Source organism: Homo sapiens, chromosome 5 (assembly GCF_000001405.40).
Source record: "Homo sapiens chromosome 5, GRCh38.p14 Primary Assembly".
In the NCBI taxonomy this organism is placed as follows: Eukaryota; Metazoa; Chordata; class Mammalia; order Primates; family Hominidae; genus Homo; species Homo sapiens.
Window position 1 is genome coordinate 79,024,178 of NC_000005.10, and position 27,364 is coordinate 79,051,541.

At 40.0% G+C, this 27,364-nt stretch overlaps 1 protein-coding gene across 5 annotated transcripts in view; it reads right to left on the reverse strand.

Annotated features, from left to right (window-relative positions):
* Positions 1–27,364, reverse strand: part of DMGDH (dimethylglycine dehydrogenase) — a 72,111-nt gene that overhangs the window by 26,614 nt on the left and 18,133 nt on the right. For 3 of the 5 annotated variants that reach the window (NM_013391.3, XM_011543355.3, XM_006714597.3), the window contains exons 5-14: positions 27,110–27,314; positions 20,127–20,375; positions 18,106–18,304; positions 9,062–9,231; positions 8,510–8,663; positions 6,656–6,821; positions 5,727–5,857; positions 4,256–4,473; positions 2,247–2,404; positions 94–153 (exon numbers count right to left, since the gene is read on the reverse strand). In NM_013391.3, coding sequence (NP_037523.2) covers positions 94–153; positions 2,247–2,404; positions 4,256–4,473; positions 5,727–5,857; positions 6,656–6,821; positions 8,510–8,663; positions 9,062–9,231; positions 18,106–18,304; positions 20,127–20,375; positions 27,110–27,314 — 1,710 coding nt within the window. The remainder of the gene's footprint in view (positions 1–93; positions 154–2,246; positions 2,405–4,255; positions 4,474–5,726; positions 5,858–6,655; positions 6,822–8,509; positions 8,664–9,061; positions 9,232–18,105; positions 18,305–20,126; positions 20,376–27,109; positions 27,315–27,364) is intronic. The other 2 variants (NR_104002.3, NR_104003.3) reach the window with 2 other exon arrangements.

The window sequence follows — 27,364 nt, forward strand, 5'->3', positions numbered from 1 at the left end:
CATACTTGGTTAAATTTTAAAGAATGGCTCTGTCACAAAATAGCATCATAATGTTAAGATTTACTTCAAGCACACTTTGGAATGTAAACATACCTTATTTAACTTCACAAAATATTCCAGTCCAGCTTCCAAAGGATTTGTATCACAGTTCATCTAAAAAGGAAACACACATTTTAAATCTTAGATGAGTGCAAGTCATTTTGGTAACATCACTTTCATATTTGTTTTTAGGAGAAAGAACCCTTTTTGATTTTTCAACACAGATTCTAAAGAAAGGCAAACTATAGACCGGTTTTGAAAACAATTTTTTAATCCAAAATTCGATGTAGCCTTTCAGCAAAACTGGTCATTTGAATATAACAAATATAGAAACTAAAATTCACTGTGTTTCCACAGCTCTCCCATTTTAATAAACATCTGAGGGAATGTACGTGATGTTTCTTCTAGAAACAAGATTTTCACATGTTTTTCTGCAATAATTTTACATAACTACGTTTTGAAAAGTTATTAAACAATTTACTTATCTTACAATTCACCAAGAATCAGGGTAAGGTGGAGGGAAAGCAGATAGTAGGAAGGTGGCTGATAGAGTTCAGGAGAGGAGAAAGGAATAAGCGGAGTTTGAATCTGTATCTCTTCAAATGTGGCCAAGTCACTGTAATAGCTACCAAGTCAGGGCTAACGCCAATATTTGGTAATAGACCTGAAGTTAATGGTTTTTGTTTCTTTCTTCGTTTTGTTGTTTTCTTCGCAGTGAGAGAACTAGTCTAAACCCCCTACAAGCAGTCAAACTTTTAAAGCAACACAGCACCTGCATAAACTAAATGAAAGTACGCTTGTTTTATATGACGTAAAACGTTGCCTCATATTTCTTAATCAATTTGAGCTATTCTAAAATTATATTTATCTGTTCAAAATTTCAGAATTTCTTCAAAGAAAAAAATAAAAATGAAGCACAGAGGATTGCAGTGCCAACACTAGAGGGCGCTCTGGCACTGCTGGGAAATCGGAGGGACGGGAGAAGGAGAAAAGCTCTCCAGAGGAGGTCGCCGGGAGAGGAAATCTGAGAAAATAAAAGGCAGGAGAATGGAGAAATGTCTGACTCCCAAAGGGCTGCTCCTGCTGCTTCATTCCTCGGAGAGTGTGGGGACCGCGCTGTCCTCCGTTTCTGTCCCTGCGCCTAGCCTCGCCTCAGTCCCCAGTTGTAGCTAGAGAATCCCCTAATAGGGGATCTCTCGTGGAGAGCTTGCCCACTTGCTTCTGCGCACTCTAAATGCCCTTGGGTCTCTGCCTGGGCTTTGAAACACACTCTCCCCTTCAATCAAATGCACTTTATTATGTGCTTGGCACTTCCTAGACTCTCTCTACTATCTATGATAATTCTGTAGCATAAAAAATCCATTTTTTAGAAAAGTAAACAGAAGTTCTGGAGGGTTAAGCCAGATAGCTGGTGCGTGGTGGAGGAAAAATTCAAACCCAAGAGTCCCCGCTCTGAGTTCATCTTTTACCACTATCCCTTATCTTACCTTTCAGGTCTAAAACCTCAGTGTCTTCCAAAGAAACAACTACTGAATCTGAAATAGTGACTGGGTCCAGGGATAGCCTGCCATATTGGAAATAAAGTAGGAGAACAGAGTTTAAACCACAGGCTGGCCACTTACTAGGTAATCTGGACCAAGTGGTTCTCTAAGTCTCAGTGTTATTATGCGTAAAATAGAGGTAATGGAGAGTTGAGAAGGAAAATGAAATCATGCATATGAAAATATGTAAATGGTTAAAGCACTATACAAATAGAAACTCTTAATAACCATTATTAATGGTGGAGGAAGGCTGGACCACCACATTCTGGACCATCAACCCTGCCCCTCAGAAAGGAGTGTTAATTCACCAAAAGGTATAAGATAAGAAGAAAATGAAGACGGGCAAAATGACAGAGGAGGAGAGATTTTGAAAAGTGTTACTCTAATCCCATGAGGCAAGCCGGCTCCCCAAAGTCCAAGACAGTTATCTAGGGCTGTCAGCCAACTAGGATGAATTAAGGCAGAATAAACATATGTCAGAATTCCACTGAACTTTCACTTGAGAAATTAAGGAGAAAAACCTCTTCCCCTAATGAAATAAAGTTATCTAATGATATGTAATTTCTCTTACAGCCAAAACCAATGTTATTGCAGTTCAAACCAGCCCTTATATAAAAATGAGATAAATAAACATAAAATGTTAATAAAGATGCTAGCATTTCAAACCTCTAACCCCCAGGCTCTGAAGGCTTTCTCCAGGCGTAAGGCATTCATGGCATAGGTTCCAAAATTGTCGATTCCCTCCTCCTGGCCTGCATTCATGATAGCGTCATACAGCGCCACAGAATCTTCTCTTCTGTGATACAGCTCCCAACCCAGCTCACCTGAAATAAACCCACAGGTGCCACAGCAGGGCAAGAACAATGATCACTAGATCTAATGTGCATTAGCTAGAACACATATAAGCAGGAGAAATTCCACTTATGCAACACAGACATTGTCAGTCTCTAAAAAGACCAGCTCACAAAAAGTTACAAGACCCCACTGCAAAGAAGCCCACCATATCACAGATGCATTTGTGCCGATCCTGACTCCCATGTAGATGGTGGTATGCAGGACACCTCTTGTCATGACACAGAAAGACTATAATACAGGAATTAATCTCCACCCTGGACCCCAGCTTTCTAATGAGGCTTGACTGTTTTCTGGGACAATGACGTTAGGTGAATAGTTAGCATGGCACAGTTTATCAGGGCAACGAGTTCAAGGTTTAAACCAACCCCTTGCCCAAAAATCACAAGCTTAAAAATATAGTTAACTAAGAATTATTCAAGTTATCCTCATAGTGAGAAAGCCATAGTCTCTGACTTCTCCCCCTCCCACTTCTTCCCTAGTCATTTCCTTCACCAACAGAGCTGTGGGCAAAAATCAAAAGAAATTAAATGTAACCCAAAAAATCCTGCTTATTTTTGTGTTCTTGTTTTGTTTTTTTGTCTTGTTTTTTTGTTGAGACAGGGTCTCACTATGTTGCCCAGGCTGGTCCTGAACTCCTGGGACAATCAATCAGTCCTCCCACTCTGGCCTCCCAAAGTGCTGGGATTACAGGTATGAGCCACTGCATCCAGCCCTGCTCATTTTTTATTCTAGAATTTGCCAACGTTGGGTGGAAGAAGGGCAGGGAAAAGGTATAGCAGCAGCCCAGAGAAAGAGCTATGGTCTTTAATCTCTGTGTTCTCCTGTTTCCCAAGGTGGAGGGCTCATGGTAAGGTGTTTTTATGGGATACCACAGAATAGGAGCAACATATAATTGAATGAATGCCTGGGCATGCAGTACTCCTGTGAGAGACAAGGAGGTCTAGAAAAACTTAGAAGGGAGCCCAGAGCACCACTGGGGAACTGAAGAGCATTCATTCATCTCTGTATCAAATACCTACCATGTGCAAGGTTAGGTGCTAGAGGAAGACATCTCAGTGAACTTACAGTCTGGAAGGAAAGAAGGATTGTTGGCAATGCTCTAGGAGAGGTACCTGATACCTTCAAAATGGTCTCTATGGGAGATTCTATCTCCAGGAGACCATCTTGAATGTTCACAAATAGAGTTGGCTGGCCCGACTATTTCAGCCAATCCTCTTCCCCACTTTTCTTTTTTTTTTTTTTTTTTGAGATGCAGTTTCACTCTTGTTGCCCAGGCTGGAGTACAGTGGTGTCATCTTGGCTCATACAACCTCCGCCTCCCGAGTTCAAGCAAATCTCCTGCCTCAGCCTCCAGAGCAGCTGGGATTACAGGCATGTGCCACCACGCCCAGCTAATTTTGTATTTTCAGTAGAAACGGGGTTTCTCCATGTTGGTCAGGCTTGTCTCGAACTCCCGACCTCAGGTGATCAGCCCGCCTCAGCCTCCCAAAGTGCTGGGATTACAGGTGTGAGCCACTGCACCCAGCCCCCACTTTTTTTTTATCTGCCCTTCCAGATGGTAGGCAGCGATGGGACTGGAGCAACAACTAGAAATCTGTGGAACCACTTTCAAGATGAGGAGTGAATAGACAGACTAGACATAAGAGCTGGGCAGAACAAAAATCTTCCTCCAAAGTCGCATGGACAAAAGTGAGTGTGAGTGTGCACATGCATACACACTCACACATTTCTTGTGACATGACCTTTTAATTTTAAATTTTAAATTTTAAATTGACCTTTTAAATTTCAGAGACTTAGTCCAGGTTGTTTTCCAATCTTACCAGTATAAGATATCCTAATAGCAGTGACAGGAATGTTGGAAACCTTTAAGGACTTGGTTTGAAGAAACTTGAAAACATCATCACTAAGATCTTCAGAGGTCAGTTTCTGAAGGACCTTTCTTGCCTGTGGCCCAGCAACTCCAAGAACTCCAAGCTCATCAGTTATGTTTTTAATTTCAACATCATATCCACCTTTGACTGCTTCTTCTTCAATCCATCTGCGTTTTAGTCATGAACATGGTGTTAAATATTGCTTGAATAATGTACTTTGGTAATAAATTATCTCTCTGAAGACATGCTTTGTGTCTAGAGTTATCAGAAAGTCCCCAGAGTGTCATTTCATGAAATCACACTGATTTTTAAAGTTGAGGAAACCAAGCCCCTGAGATGTTAAGTGATGATTCTCTTTAAATCACCCACTTATAAATTTGGGGGGTAATTTTTCACAGTACAGAAGGATCCTTCAATTTAATGAGCTCTGCCACACAATTCTTTTAAATAGTGACACAGCCCTTTTGCATTTAAACTAATGATTCAGCCTTGCAAAATTAATTTAAACCCAAATTTTCTCTAATACCTGTACACAGGAGGCACACTTATGTTGCTAAAGGTTAATAATGTGCCTGCCACAAGACACGTAATTGCTCTGAGAATCACAAGGAAAAGACAGAAACTCTAGTTTCAATTTCTATGGCTTGATGAGTTATTGGGACCCAGCTATAGGGCTGGTTTCTAATTTATTGAGCAGTCCTTGAGCTATCTAAGTCTATCACAAAATGTTCATCTGGATTTACACAAAGCTAAGCTATTAAGATGGTCCCAGTACATCTTGGATTGGAGCATATAATTTGCATCACTGTACAACTAAGATGAGAATCTGTCAGAGTAAGACATGTATTAAATAATAATATTCCAAAAATATTTGGAATATTAGACTAAAGACTTTATAATAGAATGAAGATTCATGTAAAGGCTGGACTTGGCAGGTCAGCAACTTAGATCCAGCTGTGGGCCAGAAAGCACAAAGCATCACAAAGGACAAAGATAATTTAGGAAGACAGCTTACAGAAGTGGACCAAATGCGGGCATCAGAATCAAAAAGCTCGTGTGAGTAAGTTCCCTTATCCCAAACCTCAGTTTCCTCATCTGATCATGGGAATAATATATACCTTGCAAAATATTAAGAGAATTCATTAAGGTAATATCTAAAAAAGGTTCTGGCACATTGATGATGCCTAATAAATGGATTAATATTATTAGAACAAGTAACCTATGGATGAATTACCTTTGGGAGGGGCAGGGGCCCTCACTTCAAATATTTTTGTATTAAAAAAAATAAAGTTTATTTGAAACAATCAGGTTTAAGAAGAAATAAAGTTGTACTTTCGAGTACTGGTAAAAAGAAAAACTTAATGTAAGATTGAGTCAATATATAATGTGTACAAAATTTTCTTACTAGGTGTGCACTTACCTAAGATCATGAAGTTCTGATCCAGAGCCAGTAATTAAAAGAAACTCCCCAGGAGATTGGTGAGAAACAGTCAGCTCAGCATACACTCGACCCTTGGGTGTTAACATGTGACTTATATTTGTAAAACCCACCTACATAAAAAAATTAAAAATTACCTTAGGATGAACTAAAAATCACATGCATCCTTTTAACACCTATTGAAATAACAATGTGGGTGTTAAGAATGAAAAGTATCTGAATCTTACTGTTTGTGTCAATCGTATGAATTATCTGTAAACCTAAACCCAACAGTAATTTGAAGTTCTCCATTTAAACAATCATTTAAAACTATTTGCCATTAAAAAGCTCTTCTTCATTTAACTGCAGAACTCAATTTTAAGTTCCCATCGAAACAATTAAGCAAAGTCATAAGGTCCTTGGATGAGAATTCACTCAACAAAAATTTAAATTTGAAAATTAGCTTGTAGGCTGGGTGTGGTGGCTCATACCTGTAATCCCAGCACTTTGGGAGGCTGAGGCGGGTGGATCACCTGAGGTCAGGAGTTCGAGACCAACATATAGTGAAACCCTGTCTCTGCTAAAGAATACAAAAATTAGCTGGGCATGGTGGCACATGCCTGTAGTCCCAGCTACTTGGGAAACTGAGGCAGGAGAATTGCTTGAACCTGGGAGGCGAAGGTTGCAGTGAGCCGAGATCACACCACTGCACTCCAGCCTGGGTGACAAAGCAAGACTCTGTCTCTCAAAAAAAAAAAAAAAAAAAGAAAAGAAAAAAAGAAAGTAAATAAGCTTGTATACTTGTATACTTTTGGTCAGTTGAAGAGTTCTAGTGTTCATCCAGAAATCATTAGGTGAACTAAAATAACATATGGGATGAAGAATTAAATAGGTCAGAATCCTGGACCTTGTATCCCTACAAGGCTATTTACCTTTGGAATGACATTTGCAAAGAGATGGTCCAGTAGTCTAATGGAATCTTGGCCTTTGATGTTAAACTTGCCAAATGGTGATAGGTCAGTTACCGCTACTCTTTGCATAACCTGTTTATACTCCGAGCCCACAGGCTCAAACCAGTTTGTGCGGCGAAAACTTGGCCTGAAACACAACATTTAGTGTCATAAAACAACTCCCGTTCATTTTTCAAAAATTACAGAATACGATATTTTAATAAGCCCTACTCATCTAGAAAATCCTACGGGCAGCGGGGAGTGGGACTATGGGAGGCGAGACCATGCAACCTGAAATTCTGTTCTGCAAATCATTCATGTATGTTGGAATCTGACCCTTTAAAGTTACTCATTTATCCCTTTGACCTATTTCTCAGTGAGTAAAGTGCTGATTAACTGGAAAATAAGATATAATTCATGGGCTCTCAGATCTGGAAGAGAGTTTATAAGTCAACCAGTCTGGTGGTTTTCAACTCTAGACGCATATTAGAATCATCTGGAGAGCATTTTAAAATGGCCCTAATTAAATCAGAGTGTCTGGGTTGGGAGGCGGGGTGGAGCTGTCTGGTCCAGTGCTTCTCAAACATTAATGGGAATACAAATCACTTGCACTTGTTAAATTCCACATTCTGAAGCAGCAGGTATGGGGTGGGACCCCATAGTCTGCATTCTGCCAGGCTCGCAGGAGATGCCTATGCTGTTGGTCCACACCTGGGGTACATAAGGATCTGGTCCCAAATCTTCATTTTTCAGAGAAAAGGCACAAAATGATCTCCAAGGCCTTCACATTAATGACAGAGCCAGACCTGGAACAAAGGTCTCTTGACTCATTACTAAAGGTCCTTTCTGCTTTATGAAGTGGACTTCTAATGTGGTATTTTAACTTCAGAGCAGGATGCTATGTCTGTAACATGAATTTTCAATAGTTTAATTATTAAATGGTAGAAAAAACTTAGGCCAGATCCAATCAGCACTAAGTGAAGAGTAAAAGTGATGTGTTAGAGTAATTTAGGAAAAACCAAATCAGTATTTGGCCACCAAATAATCTAGATTGGCTGCTTATAAAGCCCAAATTCATTCATCAACAACGGGTTCTCTGCTATACTTTGTATGAATTAGATCTAGTCTTAAAATAGCAAAACCTATTGTAAAAAGCAAAATGACAGCATAAAAATAAGGATAATGTAACTTCTAAATTTGCAACTTGTTTTCCCTTGATCTGTGGATTCTCTTGAGAAAAAAATATATAATCACTATTAATCCAAAGTACAACAATGGCAGGTAGCACTTTACCCAAATTCAGAGAACTGTTTCAGTGGCATACTTTATGTTTTCGCTTAACCTGGAATGCTATGCAAATGACCTTATCAACTGCACATATAATTTGCATGACTCAGTGCACACACTCTAGAAAGCAGTTGCTTTGAGCAATTTCAGGATGAACAGAAAATCCAAAACTCCAGGTACATTTTGTGGTTATACACGATGTGATTCCACTGAGCACCCTAAAGTACAGCAAACCTTTAGGAGCCAACTGAAGCCAGGTGGGAATTTGGAGGGCGGTCGCAAGTTTCTTCCGAGCATCTGGTAAATGCCAAGAGGCTTCACCAAGGCTGGCTATAGGACTCTCAGGGTCACGTGAGTCCTAGATGTGGGCCAGTGTCTCGTGGGCTAGACTAATGCCACCACTGCCAGAGAGTAATTTTTGTAGGACAAAGCTCAGTGCTCCTTGGAACAGGGTGGAGCAATGGAGTGTAAGGCAGAATCAGCGCTTTTTGCTGTCCCGTTGTTTCACCCCTCGGTCAGAACCACAGGCAGGTAAAGTCCTTCTCCCACCTGTACTGAGTGTCCTGGCCTGGTTTGTAGAACCAGTGCGGCTGCTCCCAGCCAGCATGGAACCCCATGGAACACTTAGACTCCAGCCTTTGATAGAGCCCACTGACTCGTTGAGTCGGCCTCCCAGCAAACCGTTCTTCTTTAGGATAACCAACTGAAAAGGAAAAATTGGTACTTTAAATCACATATAGCCAAAACAACAAGATACTTACATGGGATTCCAAATATGGAAATACAGTACTTAAAATCCAGATGCATAAACATACATACATACATATATATGAATGATTCATGTAGAAAACAGAGCTGTCATTTATATGACTCATCAAAGAGTAAAGTAAAAATATATTTAAAATTTAAAACCAGTGAGGCATTCCACGTGTTAAATATATACATCCATATATATTCCTTGTTATGTCTCAGGGGCACAATGCTTTTTGGAGTCCCTAACTACCGCCATCCCAGTGAATAGAATAAAGACCATCTAAAGTCAGAGATGCTACAATTCAATTCCGTCAACACTTTGTAGACAACAGTACATTTGTACCTTACCAATATTGTTGAATCCATATGATTCTCTTGCTTTGGCCTCAGTGTACTGGGTTGTTGTCCATTTGCCATAGCGATTAGGATCCAATTCTATCAGATCAAAAGGAGGTTCTCCATGCAGGATCCAGTCACTGAGATATTTCCCTACCCCACCAGCGTGGATTATGCCATATCTTTCAAATACAGGGATAGAAAACCCATTACTAACACATGTAGTTTTCAAATGAAACATAATCAAACTATTTTATAGGGCTTCAAAGTTGGACTGTTCTGTGCTAATCAGAACACACAAGTAACATAATCTCTATGGAACAATTTTTTCCTTAAAAGTGACATGTTTAGGCATCCAAATTAAATGTGCCTGACTTGATAGCTAGTTTATTTACAGTTTCAAGAGATGTACACCTGCGAAATAGCTCCTTATTGGGCAGGGCACACTAACTCACACCTGTAATCCCAGCACTTTGGAAGGATCGTTTGAGACCAGGAGTTCGAGAACGGCCTGGCCAACAAAGTGAGAACTCATCGCTACAAAAAAATTAAAAAATTATCTCGGCATGGTGGCACGAGACTGTGGTCCCAGGTACACGGGTGGCTGAGGCAGGAGGATAACTTGAGCCTAGGCGGTAGAGGCTGCAGTGAGCCATATTCGCACCACTGCACTCCGGCCTGGGTAACAAAGCAAGACCCTCTCTCAAAAAACAAAACAAAACAAAAACCAACAACAACAAACAAAATAGCTCTTTATGGGGAAAAGGCTCGGTGATCCTTGACTCCTAACTAATAAGAATTTTGCTTTAGGAAAACTAGGGGTTGGAGCCAGAATGCAAACAGACAGATGTGGCTGGTACCCTAACAGCCCTCCTGAGCTATGATTATCCTGACTGGTAGGAAACACGGTGGGAGAAACATATGTACTGTGGTGTCCCATCCATCTCTTCTCAGACTCAAGTTAGTTCTGACCTCCTTAGACAATGACCTGTGCGCAAGGAACTTGAGCCATTATCTTAGAAACATTCAGGCAAAGAGGCCCTCACCTGAGGACTTGTGGAAAGAGGTAGAAAGGAACACTGTCTCTTGTATTTTGCAACTAATAGGCCACTTGATGGGGAAGGTGGGCTTGTTTTCTATTTTCTTAAGATGATACTTTAAAATCAAGAACACGATGCGGAAAATAAAGGGGTTTTGACATCAGAAAATGGATGGGTTTTACATTGGCCATGTGTAGTTCTACCCACTCAGTCTTGTCTAATGAAGGCCTCTACTGTGGGTTTATGTGTGGTTTAAGTCAGGAGCTTCCAAGGAACTGAATGAGCAGAGAGTCATGGGGAGAGAAGCAAGAAAAGGGGATACAAAGCAGACATCAAGACACAGAAATGCTAGTATCCCCAACAACAACAACTTAGCCAGAACCACAGCTTCTAAGAGCATGGGAGGAACTTTAGCAAATGCTGAAAATGTTAACTAACTTTTCCCACAACAAGACACCTGTTTTGCTTTCATAAAAATGAGTGCCTACATTTTATAAAAGACTTTCTCAGGCCGGGCGCGATGTCTCACGCCTGTAATCCCAGCACTTTGGGAGGCCGAGACGGGCGGATCACGAGGTCAGGAGATCGAGACCATCTTGGCTAACACGGTGAAACCCCGTTTCTACTAAAAATACAAAAAATTAGCCGGGCGTGTTGGCGGGCGCCTGTAGTCCCAGCTACTTGGGAGGCTGAGGCAGGAGAATGGCATGAACCTGGGAGGCGGAGCTTGCAGTGAGCCGAGATCGCGCCACTGCACTCCAACCTGGGAGACACAGCGAGACTCCATCTCAAAAAAAAAAAAAAAAAAAAAAGACTTTCTCAAAGAGAATAAAAACCCAGCAATTTACATTCCTTTGGGCATTTTAATAGACATGGGGCATCCAAGTTATCCACAAACAACCTCTCTAAATTTTAAGAAAGCAAGAAAAATTATTAAATATATGCTTAAAATGTTTATTAAACTTAGCACATTCACTTAACCAGGCCCAATGCCCATATAGATCAAGTACCATTTTTGAGAGCTATATTGTTGATAAGACTTGAAGGCTTATGAAGTTCTACCAACACTGAGTGCCTCCCATTTACCAGGCATAGTTTCCGTCTAACACATAGAAGCTGATTTATGCTTTAGCAAGTCTATTTTAAGGAGAAAGATCAGCCCCCACACAGAGGCTAAATAAAGTCACACAGCAGTAAAGAGTAGATTCAGGATACAAATTCATTTATCTGACCCTGGAACGCATGCTCCTTGTTATCGGACTTTCCTATCTTCAGTAGTTCTCAGTCTTTGTTCAGCCAAGACACACATAGCAGATACAGCACTGTCTATATTTTTGACAGACTTCCAGGGCAGAGCCAGGGGTGCTTTGATTTCCTATGGCCTGGCTGCTATACCATCATGTTCTTTCCCTTTCAACCATGCACATGAGCAAATAAATGGGCAGAGTGCTGTTATTTGGGTGGGAGTGGTGGGCGGGGGGGGAATCCTGAATCAAATCTAATTTATTTCTAAAAAGTAAATATTTTACAAACAAGTTATCCAACCATTAACAAGCTTTACATAAAATTCCATACAACTGAGTGTTATGAACTACACATGGCCAATGTAAAACCAATCCCTTTTCTGATGTCAAAACCCCTTTATTTTCCATATCATGTTCTTGATTTTAAAGTATCATCTTAGGAAAATAGAAAACATCTCTGGAGAATCCCTGGCTTAGCAGCTAAAAGTATAAAAGTATGGGGAAAAGATCTGGGTATGATTCTTATTCTTCCACTGTTAGCTGGGTGACCTTGGGCAAGTTATGTAACCACCCTGCGCTTCATTCTTCTCCTGTGCACACTTTATGGTGCTGGTGGAGAATTAATTGCCAAGGCATTTAAAAGCACTTAGTATACTGCATGGCACATAGTGGGCAAGGAATACATGGTGGCTATTGGGCCCTTGTATGACCAGTTGAAAGGATTTTAATAAGGAAGTAAGGTGTGAAGTGAAAGTAGAAGGGAACTTAAAGAGGAGAGGACAATTAGGTTCTTCTTCTGTCTCTAGCATTAATCTGCAGAATTCTAGATTCTTCTCAATGACCCTAGGCCTATATGCTTTTTGAGTGTTTGTATCTGCTTTTTATAACTCTGTTAAATGACTGGATGTTACATCTTATAGCACTCTCCCCTCTTTAAATTTGCTGTTTATAATCCGTTCTAAGCCAAGAAAATCAGATTCAATTAAATACAATTCATAAGACTTTTTTGGGCATTGTGTTAGTTACCTAGAAGCAGAAAAACTTGTTGGAATTGTGACAAAACAAATGTCCAAAGTAAAATAGCTGTGGCTGAGGATATTCTGCGAGTAAGGTAAATGGGCACTGGCACATATGTAAGCAGTTTGCAAACACCTATTCCCTGAACTGGCTGTACCAAGAATTACAGATATTATTATAATAAAATACAGATTCCTGGGCCCCTCTCCGGACCACTAAATCAGAATCTATAGGAGTAGTGTCTGGAAATCTGTTTGTTTGCTTGTTTGTTGCAATTCAATACATCTTTCATGGTGCTATGGACTGAATGTTTGTGTCCTCCCATAATGCATCTGTTGAAGCCCTAATCCTCAATGTCACGGTATTTAGAGATGGTACTCTAAATACTTTGGGAAGTACTTAGGGTTAAATGAGGTCATGAGGGTGGGGCCCTCATGATAGGGTTAGTGTCCTTCTATGAGGAGACACCAGAGAGCTTGCTTTCTCTCCACACACACCCACCCACCAAGGAAAAGCCACATGAGCACACAGCCAGAAGGTGGCCATCTGCAACCCAGGAAGAGAGCCCTCACCAGAACTCTGCCATGACGGCTCTGTGATCTCAGACCTCCAGCCTCCAGAACTGTGAGAAAGTAAATTTCTGTTGTTTAAATCACCTAGTCTATGGTACTTTATTATGGCAGCCCAAGCAGACTAAGCCACATGGGTTCTAGTGACAAATAATAGGAATTTCACAGATGAGAGGTATAGGAGATAAAAAATGTGCATGTGACTAACCACATGGTCAAGACTCTGCTTTTTAACGTGCTCCTCAGATGATTCTGCTCCTCACCCAGGTATGGGAACCACTGGCCTCCAGAGCCATGGAATGAGTGCACTGATATAAGCCAGGAGGGGCAGCTAATGGGGGTATTCCATTATATTACATAAGAAATATCTTAGAAACCTCAACTTTAGGTAACGGGAAGGCTTTTTTGGTTTAGACCAAACCTGTCAAAGACAGGGAGGCACTTTGCCCACCCCCACTCCCACCTGTTGTCTTCTCCACCCACCTCCCAGTATCTATGACCTGAGAAAATTAGCCAGAGCAATCAGGGGAGGAGTCTGACATCAGTCACATGCAAACAGATGTGATTTCTAGGTTATAAGTAACTTGTTCTAGAGGAAGCAACTTCCTACTTTCTTTAGCAATTAGTTAATAGGTGTTCCACATGAGATCAGTGACTCTATCTGCTCAGAACATGCCTTACAGTCAATGATCCTCAATTTCTATTATTTAATACTAAAATTCAATTGGAATATCAAAGAGAATAAAATACTTAGGAATAAATTTAACAAAAGACGTGCAAAACTTTTACTCTGAAAACTACAAATCATTGTTCAAAGACATTTTAAAAGACCTAAGTAAATGGAAAGACATTTCATGTTCATGGATCAGAATACTTAATATTGTTCAGATGTCAATACTCCCCAAAATGATCTACAGATTCAATGCAATCTCTATCAAAATCTCAGCTGGCTTCTTTGCATAAATTGACAAACTAGTCCTAAAATTTATGGGACTTCCAGCCAAAACAATTTTGAAAAAGAACAAAGTTGGAGGATTCATACTTCCTGATTTCAGAAATTACTACAAAGCTAGTAACTTCTAGTAACAGTAATTAAGAGAGTGTCAGCTGGGTGTGGTGGCTGATACCTGAAATCCCAGCACTTTGGGGGGTCGAGGTGGGTGGATCACTTGAGGTCAGGAGTTTGAGACCAGCCTGGCCAAAATGGGAAAACCCCATCTCTACTAAAAATACAAAAATTATCCAGGTATGGTGGAGCGTGCTTGTAATCCCAGCTATTTGGGAGGCTGAAGCAAGAGAATTGCTTGAACCCGGGAGGTGGAGGTTGCAGTCAGACAAGATCGTGCCATTCCCTGGGCAGCAGAGTAAGACTCTGTCTCAAAAATAAATAAATAAATAAAAGACAGTATAGTAGTCGCATAAGAATAGACACAGATGAAGGAACAGAATTGAGAGTCTAGAAATCAACCCATACATCTATGGTCAATTTATTTTTTATAAAGATGCTGTGGTATAATAAAAATTAAATATTTGGTCTTTATTCCCAGTTCCTGACACAGAATTCATAAAACATTTGAGATTTACTATTTTTTGAATGTTAATGAGATGACTCTTGTGGAGAGGAGAGCAGTCCTAGGTAGCTTCAGGATGGGGGCTGGTAGCCAGAAAAACCAACCATGTGATTAGAGAGTTAGAACTTTCAGTCTACTCATCTGACAAAGGGCTAATATCCAGAATCTACAAAGAACTCAAACAAATTTGCAAGAAAAAAACAAACAACCCCATCAAAAAGTGGGCGAAGGATGTGAACAGACACTTCTCAAAAGAAGACATTTATGCAGCAAAAAGACACATGAAAAAATGCTCATCATCACTGGCCATCAGAGAAATGCAAATCAAAACCACAATGAGATACCATCTCACACCAGTTAGAATGGCAATCATTAAAAAGTCAGGAAACAACAGGTGCTGGAGAGGATGTGGAGAAATAGGAACACTTTTACACTGTTGGTGGGACTATAAACTAGTTCAACCATTGTGGAAGTCAGTGTGGTGATTCCTCAGGGATCTAGAACTAGAAATACCATTTGACCCAGCCATCCCATTACTGGGTATATACCCAAAGGACTATAAATCATGCTGCTATAAAGATACATGCACACGTATGTTTATTGTGGCACTATTCACAATAGCAAAGACTTGGAACCAACCCAAATGTGCAACAATGATAGACTGGATTAAGAAAATGTGGCACATATACACCATGGAATACTATGCAGCCATAAAAATGATGAGTTCATGTCCTTTGTAGGGACATGGATGAAATTGGAAATCATCATTCTCAGTAAACTATCGCAACGACAAAAAACCAAACACCACATATTCTCACTCGTAGGTCGGAATTGAACAATGAGAACACATGGACACAGGAAGGGGAACATCACACTCTGGGGACTGTTGTGGGGTCAGGGGAGTGGGGAGGGATAACATTAGGAGATACACCTAATGCTAAATGACGAGTTAATGGGTGCAGCACACCAGCAAGGCACATGTATACATATGTAACTAACCTGCACATTGTGCACATGTACCCTAAAACTTAAAGTATAATAATAATAATAAATAATAATAATAATAAAGAACTTTCAGTCTCACTCCCTACTCCAACCTCCAGGGAGTGGAGAAGAGATATTGAGTGCAGTCACCAATAATGTAATCAATCATGCCTATGCAATGAAACCTCCATAAAGACCTAGGCATGGGGTTCAGAGAGCTTCTGGGTTGGTGAACACAGTGATGGGCTAGGAAGGCACCTGGAAAGGGCCTGGTGGTGCTGCCCCACCCACCCCTAACCCCTCACATTTTGTCCTATGTATCTCTTCCATTTGGCTACTCCTGAGCTGAATCCTTTATAATAAAAGAGTAAACATAAGTATTTTCCTGAGTTTTGTGATTGGTTCTAGCAAATTATCAAATCTGAGGAGAGGGTTGTGGGAACACCCAGTTGGTCAGAAGTATGGGTGTCTCCCGAGACTTGAGACTGTTGTCCGAAGTGAGAGCAGTCTTGTGGAACGGATCCCTTAACCTGTGGGGTCTATGTTAATTCCAGGAGTTGGTGTCAGAATTGAATGGAATTGTTGGACACCCAGTTAGTACTAGAGAATTGGAGAATTGGTTGTTGGTGCTGGAAAATACCACACATTTGGTGTAAGAAAAGGAATCAGAAAAAAGACATTACAGATGCCAGCATAATTCAATGAGGACAGAATAGTCTTTTCAATGAATAGTTCTGGGACAACTGGCTATACATATGAAAAGACTAAAGTTGGACACCTACCTCACGTCATATGCAAGAATTAACTCATGACTGATTACAGAACTAAATGCAAAAGCTAAAACTATAAAACTCTTAGAAGAAAACATAGGTTTAAATCTTCACGAACTTGGATTAGACAATGGTTACTTGTATATGACACCAAAAGTACATGTGAACCAAGGAAAAATACATATTCTGGACTTCATCAAAATTAAAAAGTTTTGTATTTCAATGGACACCATCAAGAAAGTAAAAAAACAACCCACAGAATGGGAGAAAAGTTCTGCAAATCATGTACCTGATAAGGTTCTTATATCTAGAATATATAAAGAACTTCCATAGCTAAACAATAAAAAGACAAATTACCCAATTATGAAAATGGCAAAGGATATGAATAGACATTTCTCCAAAGAAGATACATGAGTGATGTGCAGGAGAAGCACTCCTACTTCCACATGCCTGCATATGGACTCTATAGGTGACTATAAAACCCTCAATTACATTATAACTTCCCATCCCAAATCTCCATCTGACTTTCTCCCTCTGGATGTCCCACATACCTAAACTTAACACTTCAAGCCCAACCCATCAAAAATGGAACTCATTATTTTCTTGTCTCTCTCTCCATGTCTCCAACATATAGACGGTGGTCAAGTTAGAAAGGTTGCCATCATTTGCCATTTTTCTCTTTCCCTTCAATATCTTATGAAATTGATCACCAAATCTAGATGATTTTATCTCCCATCTCTCAGTCTTCACTGCTGCTACCTTGGTAGAGACCCCAGCTTCTCTATTGGATCAGCAGAGCTGTGCCTCAGGCAGCCCTCCAGCTCCAATCAGACCTCACTGCTTTGTTGTCAGCTGTATTCCAATGCCTAGCCCTAGGCCTGGCACAGAGCTAGCAGTTATTATACATTAGTTGAATAAATGGCCAAATAAAATGGGGAAGAAAAATAGAATATTAGAAGATGTGATATGATAGTTGAGTGGGCTTGACATCAATATTCACCAAATTAATGGAACAAACATCAGAAATGAAACATCAAAGAGGCAATGGAGTCATAAATAGAAAGCAACCTGAGGACTTATAAAGAAACAAATCATGTTGGACAAACATGAATTATGGTGAAAAATGCAGCAGACATGTTATACATTTGATATTTTGAATTATCTTTGTCACATCGTGTTATGAAAACATCCTTGTAAAACTGGGGCAAATTGACTATCTGAAGATACACAGCATAAAACCAGAAACAGTTAATAGAAATGGCAGGAAATATGCAAAGAGAAAGCTCCAGGAGGCCGGGTGCGGTGGTTCACACCTGTAATCCCAGCACTTTGGGAGGCTGAGGTGGGCAGATTGCCTGAGGTCAGGAGTTTGAGACCAGCCTGGGCAACATGGTAAAACCCTGTCTCTACTAAAAAAAAATTACAAAAAATTAGCCGGCGTGATGCCGGGTGCCTATAATCCCAGCTACTGAGGAGGCTGAGGCAGGAGAATCGCTTGAACCCAGGAGGCAGAAGTCGCAGTGAGTCAAGATCACGCCACTGTACTCTAGCCTGGGCAACGAGAGCAAAACTCCATCTGAAAAAATAAAAGAGAGAAAGCTCCAGGAAATCATTGCCCTTCTGTGTTCCAGGAAATAGTTGCCCTTCTTTAAAACATATACAAGTGATTGAACCAGTATTTTTTATTCATTGTATGAATCCTTGGTCATGAAAGGGAGAAAACTCTCTGGGTCTCTCTCTGTTTCTCTTTCTCTCTCTCTCAGCCTCCCACATTTCCCTTTTGCATCCTGAGAATATGGAACTAGATTTAGCTAAAATAAGTGATTCTACAATAAATGTTGAATTACATGAAGATACTTACCCAAAGCCTATAGCCACCCAGTAGTTTCTGACCCCCTGATGGGGCCCCACCATAGGCAGAATGTCAGGAGAATACGTGATAGGACCATTGACAACATTGATGATGTCAGCCTTTTTCAAGACAGGAACCATTTCCATGGCAGCTTTGATGTGTTCCATGATTCGATCTAGATCAGACTCAAAGAGTTCCTTTCCAAAACCTAAAAAGATTTGCCCTTGTGGTCAGGATGCCGTAGCTGAGCTGACAAGTCCTGTAAAGTGATTTAAGCCTCTGACATGGCCTACATTTAAAGATGGCCTGTTAGGAAAGTACTGCCATTTTTTGTTAAAGTCTAAATTTCATATTCCCTATCAACAGATGAGTATCCATTTATATTACTGAAAACAATGGTATTGTTCTTGAAACAAAATCATAAAAGTTAACCTTTAATTAATATAAAATTTAAATGTATGAATAATATAGTTTCTGATATTTAATCCAATCAGTTTTTTTTAAAAAAAAACTATAATTTGGTTTGTCAAGAAGATCGTTATGCTTCAATTAACCATAAGAACCTGTTTCATCCCCTGAGATGAGGGCAAATGGGAGTTTACAAAGTCATGGCAGAATACTGGAAAAAGTGGAACACTCCTCCAAGATCTAAGATGATGGATTTTAGACCCCTTTTAACTCTCCTTTCAGCAAGAAAGGAATGGTGTGGAGGCCTCCTTCCTCCAGCCTGCCCCCATACACATCCAAGGGCTAGAGTTCTGAAAACAGGCAGGGTCTTGAAGTGCAATCCTCCTCTTGTCCTAAAAGTCATTGTGATGAGCTTCTAAAAGAATGTCTCTACCAACACTAGTGATTTTTCCACACAGCAGCCAGCCAGCTTCTTGCCCTTCCTGGGGACTACAGGTAGGGTCAGTCTCATGGAGGCCTGCAGACCATCAGGGTGGACTAGCACACACGGGTACCCATGCTCACAGACAGCTAACAATCCAGCTCTCCCTCCAAATGGCATTATTTAAATATTTGTTCAAGATTTATTTGAAGGAGAAGCTGCCAGCATGGGGGAACAGCAGAGAGGGAGGCTCTCAGTGGCATTTCAACCCTCCCTGTGGGATCAGGAGCAATTCTGCTCAGGCCCAAATGTGCAGAGCCCACTCAGCACAACCAAAGCCCTGAAACCAGCTGGCCTAACTTCTGTAGAAGGCAATTTAGTGATCATTTGCTATTATTTGGGCCTACTCTTTGAGGAGTAGAGTGGAGGGATTCATTTCCTATCTCAAGAAGCTTATCAAAGTATAATTTTAGGAAGTACCATTTCCTACATTTCTTTGTATTCCCTGTAATATTTCAATGCCCCAGTGATTTTTTAGCTCTTTTTATAGATTAAAAGCTGAGGTACCTCCTTAGATGACCCAATCTTCAATCTGGCTCTGTGGAAGTATTTCATGAAAAGCAAAAACAGAACCATCTCCCTTAAAGAACTTGAAAGAGAAACTATAGTATCCCCTGCTTTGGCATAGAGGCACAAGCCTTTTCCATATCCACTTATGTAGCATGGGAAGTACTCCATTTACAGTACCAAAAACCCTGCTCTGTTATAGACTCTTGGGTTTTCCTTCTTATTAGGATGGATATCTGGCCTCTGATATCAGTTGTGTTTCCAGCTGTAAAAGCACAATAGCATCTATATTCAAATCTTGAAAGCAGACCAAGCTGGCAGTGGATTGAGGAAAAAACGGGGAGGCAGGAGGTTGTGTGGGCAGGTAAAAATGTATCTGGAACCTTTCAAAGCAGCTGGAAATGTTACTTCAGCTTCTCTACCATCAACTACATCTTTCTTTTCCCCTACTCCCTGCTGTGATTGTTCAAAGGGATACGAGAACAGAGCTCACCTCAAACCTGTCACCTCCAATGTCCCAGGTATCTGAAAGTCTAGTATTATGTTGTTGTCTTATTCTACAGCCATCCTCCAGCCATGGAGAGGATGAACCATTCATGTCTGACTAGCACACACTTTCATTTGCTGAACCCACCTGGAGGAACTCCATTGGTGACCCAGGAGTCCTGAACTTTCATTTTCTCTTGACTTTCATATGGACCAAACAAAAGCCCATCCCTTTCCTGTCGGAGATAATATGATCCTTCCAGGTCACGGAGCACAGGCAGTTCTCGTTTCAAAGCTTTCACTTCAGATATAGTCGATGTAACAACATATTGATGTTGAACCGGAATGAGAGGATGTTCTAGTCCAATCATTTTACCTACTTCACGAGCCCAAAATCCTTAAACAAAAAAATCATTTAAAAGTGTCAGCCCATATATAAACACATAACTGACACTCATATAGCAATTTATATTAGAATAAAATGTTTAGAAGGCTTAAGTACTCATGGCAAAGTCTAATAAATGTCATAACAATCTAAACTTTTGTCATTGCAAAACTGAATGGGGGAAGAGAAGACAATATTTTGCATTACCCAGAGATTTGAAGATATCTGTGATCTAGGGGAACTCCATTCCTGAAAATGTTATTGCCCATAAGCAAAGGTAGGCAGGAAAAAAACAAAAAAATTTATTTGAAAGAAAAAACGAACAACCCAAATATACAAAAGGCACAAATGTTAGTAAGAAGTACCGTAACAAGACTGCCCATATTTGTGGACAGGGACAGTCAGGCAAAGGAAGAGGCCCCTGTGTTGCTGTGACCAACATAATACATAATGATATACCTAAGAAAGCCCTACAAGCCAACTCCTCTATCCTCTAAGCCCTATTCTCCCCAAATTGTTGATGCCTAAAATTCCAAAAGTACAAGATTGTTCTGTTAAGCTAAAATTGAAAATGGTGCATACTTCGGGAGAGAAAGCACATTAAGTTTTATCTGTTGTTTTAAAAGTTTAGTTTGAATAAGTTTGTAAGATCCTTTATTGTAAAGGCACAAAAGCACCAGAAGTCAAAACCAGGGAGAAAGAGAAGCCACAGGAAAGGGGAGATTGGTCTCATAAGTAGGCAGGGAGTTCCCCAGACGAATGTTTCCCACTTCACCGTTAGCACAGAGATTGTTTTATTTGCGGAGGTGAATGTTATTTTTTTCATTTGCAAAAGATAGAACTGGATAATTTGTGGCTGAAAGGACCCTTGATTCTTTCCCAGGCTGACCCTTCAGTACATAGATGTGGGAGCTAAAGGCTAGTAGGGTAAGACATGCCCCAGGCCACACTGGACATCCTGTAATCATCACATCTTATTGGTTTTTCTTGCTGCAGACTTTATTTTAAAAATCCAAGGCACCTTCACTGTATAAAGGGATTTTAGAATCTAAAATAATAAAAATGCTTATTATTTGGCAAGGACATGGTGTTGACTGACCACCATTAGATGATTTGGGGGCAGGGAGTTCTATTTGCTTGTTTGTTTCATAATAATTTTGAGTGATCATTGAAATGATTACATGATCCTATTTATTTCTTTAGGGGTTACACAATAAGTTTTTAACCAGTACTGTCTCTGCTGTTTTTCTGAATCTAATAAGGAGTTCTGAAGTCTCTATCATTATGAGGTTCCAAGCTAGACAGAGAATCATCAATTATGAGTCAGTCTGGGAACCTAGATTATGTACTTGTGTGTGTAAGTTTATTTCCATGTAACCATCTAAACCTTTCCTTTGCATTCTATTGTTTTGTTTGTTGCAATGGCTAAGTTGGTCACACTTGTATAATGAATCCAGAAACGGGTACCCATTTGCAAACCAGAAATCTAACTGTGGGCATCAGAGCTATTTGCCGGTGTTTTGTTTTGTTTTGTTTTGTTTTGTTTTGTTTTGTTTTGTTTTTTGAGACAGAGTCTTGCTCTGTTGCACAGGCTGGAGTGCAGTGGCACGATCTTGGCTCACTGCAACATCTGCCTCCAGGGTTCAAGCCATTCTCCTGTCTCAGCCTCCTGAGTAGCTGGGATTACAGGTATCCGCCGCCATGCCCAACTAATTTTTGTATTTTTAGTAGACGAGATTTCACCATTTTGACCAGGCTGATCTTGAACTCCTGACCTCAGGTAATCCGCTGCCTGGGGCTCCCAAAGTGCTGGGATCATAGGTGTGAGCCACAATGCTTGGCCTGTTTTGTTTTGTTTTTGAGACATGGTCTCACTCTGTTGCCCAGGCTGTAATGGAGTGTAGTGGCGCAATCATAACTCACTGCAGCCTCGACCTCCCAGGCTCAGGTGATCCTCTCATCTCAGCCTCCTGAGTAGATGGGACTATAGGCACATATCACCATGCCTGGCTAATTTTGTATCTTTTATGTAGACAGGGTTTTGCCATGTTGCCCAGGCTGGTCTTGAACTCCTGGACTCAAGCAATCTGCCCAACTCAGCCTCCCCAAGTACAGGCGTTTTGGTCTTTTAGTAATTTTGAGACTTAATTTACTCTTGCTAGTAGGAAGATGTGAATTACCAATGTCAGGACTGTGTACAAAAATATAGTAAAGCCACATATTCTAGTTATATACACTAGGACAATTTTTAAATATACAAAAATCAAAATTTTTAGCTAAGCAATTCAAACTGCTATAGTATCCCCAATATATTTGTTTCAATTAAAAACATAAATTGAAAAAAATAAGTTCTGCCCTATTCAAACATATTTATGAATTTCTGAGTCCAACTGCTTGCTTACTAATGCACTTCATCATGAATACAAAGTGGAAATGTATGCAGAAATATCTTATCACTATATTACTTCAAATCCCATAGCAAGCTGTTTTACCCATAGATATCTATGGGGCTGGTGTCCTTTAGCATTCTCTTCTTCCATATGTCAATCAAATTAACCTAAATCTAGCTAGAGTTACACTTCAACTCCTGCCTGATCACCCACCCATTAAGTTCAAGGGAAGAGAGACAAGTGTGGAAGACTCATTCTAAAATCTACCATTATCACCTGAAAAACAACTAAAGAGAAGAGTCAATTAAAAATGACTACTGGAAATGGCTTCCATTTTTTAAAAATGCAGTGATTAATAAAAATGAGGTTAAAATGCAGGCTGAAGGTTCATGGACAAGTTTACTTCTACTAGATGGTTTATATGATGACAATGATGGCCTCATGCTTTGACGCAGAGTATCAGGCAAAATTAAGCAATTCTTTTTGGCTGAACACTGAGCTTCAGGTGAGCACAACCCAATCACATTTCTGATTTGCCATGTTAGGAAAATTCTTAAGTAAATTTTACAAAGTTATCTCAGATTTAATGAGTCAATTGGAAATGAGGTAAAGAAAAACGTTCAACACCATGCGGAGAAAAAGCCTGCATCATAATAACTAGTACCTGCCCGCGTCCCTGAGCTGTACCTGAGGGAAAGGGTAGAGTGAAGCCAATTTGGAAAGCTTTGGTAACTAAAGGCAAGTTAGACTACTGCCCATCAAGAGGTCGGAAGCATCAGAAACTTCCCCAGTTCTGCTAGCTCCGAATACAGTCATTATATTCTCTCTCCTAGAAACACCTACACAATAGTGTTTCTTCAAAGATTTTTCTTGCAAATCATCTGGTACAGACAGTACAGTACCTGGAGTAGTTATTTAAAATGCAGCTTCTGAGAACCCACCCAGAACACCTGAATTAGAATCTTTTTGAAGCTTGGGAAACTTCCCAAGGTGATTCTTACTCACACTAGCTTGATTACCAAGCTCTTTGGGAAGTCAACTTACCAGCAGAATCGGTGCTGGATTCTGCACCCACTCTGCTAGTAAATTGGAAAAGAAAGGAGTTGAGCAGTCTTAAGTCTGGTACCAAGAAGCTATCATAACCTGATGCTAGTGTCTCCCAGACTACGGCATGGAATATCAAGGAAATAATTGCAATGATCATAATAATTATTATACCTTTTTTTTTACTGCTTTCTACCTGGTGAGCCCCGTTCTGGGTACTTTACATTATTAGCTTATTTACTACCCATAATAACTTTTCAAGATGGGGACTATTATCCCTATTTTACAAATAAGTAACTTACCCAAGTCACTCAGTTGGCAATGTCTATGTCTCTGGGCCACAGAGTGCCACTGCCATGGACAATGCCGAAAACACATCAGCTGACAAATTTTTACTCTTAGACTTTTCTTTTTATGGATACCCTGCAGACCCCAGCAGCCTTTACATCTTTTTCATTTTGGTTGTATTTCCAAGTCCATATCCTGGTTCCTTTAATCATATTTCAGTGCTGGTCTGAGGGCCTTGCCTGAATTTGGGAGATACCCTGGTCACACTGAGAAACTGTGGGAAACATTCCACCAGCCACACACTCTCCACTCATTTTATTATAGCATGATGACTTCTGCAGATAGTTGCTTTTGTTCATAAAACTGGTCTTTGCTAGCTTCAGTTCTAAAAGGGAGCATATCCAAACTTTTGTTCCCAATTACTGAGGCTTACCCTTTGGGGAATCTTCTATCTTTTAAATACAGATGTTTTGAAAACAGACTTACAGATAATTAAAAACACACATACACACACACACACACACACACCCCTCCACACCTCCTGTGGACTACTAATATGTAATCAGTTAGATTTTCTTGGTAATTTTGCCCGATGGAAGAGAAAAAGAAAAAAAAAAGATTAGGGAGCAGAGATCTGGTCTAAATGAGATAAAGAATTGAGATAAGCTACTTCCCACAAGTTTCAGCAAAGAAATGCCTGGAGTTACTAGGAAAAGGGATTGGAAGTGGCTGGGCAAAAAGCACAAGAACAAGGGAAAAAGGGAGGCATTACCACTCCATGCAGGGCCACACTGTCCTAATACCAGGGACTTGTTTTCCAGGCTCGTACGAGACAAGCTGTTCTCAAGGACCTCCTTTCCCTGCCCTCCTGCACCCCATCACCCCACAAGATTTCACAGCTGCAGAGAAAGCTTCATCTGGTAACTAGTGTTACGGGTTTAGGTCAGATCTCTTTGGAGATCATTCTATCTTCCTCTTCAGTGATTCCTTTTTGTTACAGTATGTAGTTTAGAAAAAAAATGTATTACAATGACAATTCATTATGTACATATGTTTATCCATTTTAGGAAAACAATGCATAAATGTGTTAAATTAAGGTCTTCTATGTTATTTCTCAAAATGTCAATCAGGAATGTATGATTGCCTAAAGTACTGTGTTGAGAAAAATGGTGGGGCTTTGTCCAAGTCCATCTGAAATGAGTGCAGCGATTAATTAGCAATGTCTGCCACAGGTGCTGGATGTGGAAGTCTCAGTATGTTACTTTAGTATTTGCTATAATGATGAAAACAGTCAAATGTTTTTAGGGCCTGAATTCATGAGACTATAGAAAAAGTTGCAAAATTACAAAGAATCCTTGCTACTTAGAAAAAAGTCTGAATTATTTCATTGCCCTAAGTTTTCTGACAGAATTTAGACCAGAGATTCCTAAGGACATTAAGAGAGGATAGTGTCAGATGGAGACTGGAGGGAAAGTGAGCCTTAAAAACAATGCAACATTGTATTGTACCACTGCTCTTATTTTTTAGGCAAGTTATTTTATATTATTGCAAATTTCAAATTATATTAAAGAAAGCATGAGATTTTATGGCTTTTCAAATAGGAGGCATGGGTGAGAGAAATTCGGAAATAACTAATTTAGACACTTAAATATTGAAGACATGACTTTTTCTCTAGGACCACTAAAAATGCTTTGTTAAAAATAATATCAATCGGCTGGACGCAGTGGCGCACGCCTGTAATCCTAGCACTTTGGGAGGCCGAGGCGGGTAGATCACCTGAGGTCAGGAGTTCGAGAGGAGCCTGGGCAACATGGTGAAACCCCGTCTCTACTAAAAATACAAAAATTAGCCGGGTGTGGTGGCAGGCGCCTGTTATTCCTGCCACTCAGGAGGCCGAGGCAGGAGAATCGCTTGAAACCTGGTTGCAGTGAGCCGAGATCGCGCCATTGCACTCCAGCCCGGGGCACAAGAGCAAAACTTTGTCTCAAAAAAAAAAAAAAAAAAAAAAAAAATATATATATATATATATATATATATATACCTCAAAAGTTACAATACAGAGGAAAGAATCATAAGGGTATGGGTTTCTGGCTTGTCCTCATGGGATATCATTTGATCTGATAAATAATAAAGATTGTTTTCATTTTATAATTTAAGCAAGAGCTCAAAGAAAATCAGTCACTGCCTCATGCTTATTTTAGGTTTTAAAGGAAACATTATAAACCATAGGAAAATATAGACTATTATCCCAGTTTAGACTGCACAAGCATTTTCACTGTAATTTATTTTGCATGTGTGATACTTGAAAATGACTTGACATGCAATCCACCTATTAGAAAGTGTATTAACTCAAGAATCAAAAGGCCAGATCCCAGTCCTGGCTCTGACATAACGATCAGTGGCCGCTTGGCCAAGTAACATGACCCTTTTGGACCTTGCCTCTGCAAATGAAAATGAGTGTGTTGTTGGATTATCCCAAATATCCCTTTTGGCTTCACTACTCTGAGTCCAAACGTAACAGAACAACAAAAAGAGAAGATTATGAAATATGTTTAATAATGTTCTAGAAGGAAAAGCATTTAAAAACTTTTTCAACTAGAGTCAAAAGTCATCAGAAATGGATGAGAGAGAACCCAAATGATCAAATCTGCCCTAAAAAGCAAATTGGACACAAAGAGGATGCTTATGAACTTCAACACTAGAATCTGGTTATTCATATAGAGAAACAGTGAATACAGGAAGGAAAAATAAACATAATTTGGAAAAACACAATCTGGAGCAAAATAAAATGCAGAATGGAGAAAATAAGCAACTTTTTTTGGATAACCAAGGACAGAGTGATAGCGCATCCACCAAGAGCAAAGTGATAGAGGGAGGGCTTTGTCACTTAGAAACAGACAAAATGTTTAACTTGGGAGCATCACAGTGCTTCATGACAATGTCCATCGTACGAAACATTACGGCTAAATATCTTCTTTCTTTGGCACTTAAAAAACACTAATTTCAAAAAAATGATATGCTTACCTGCAGCATTCACAATTCTATTTGCTCTCATAGACCCCTGTGGTGTTTCAACGTCCCATGTTCCATCTGACCTGGCTTTCAGAGAAGTTACTGGTGCAGGATATTTTAAAAGGGCACCACATTTCCTAGCCCCAGCAGCCAGTGCCATAGTTAGAGAATAAGGATCAATGTGACCATCTCCAGGATTATACAATCCAGCTAAAACCTAAATCAATCATACCAGAGTCAATACTCAAATATATATATACTTATTAC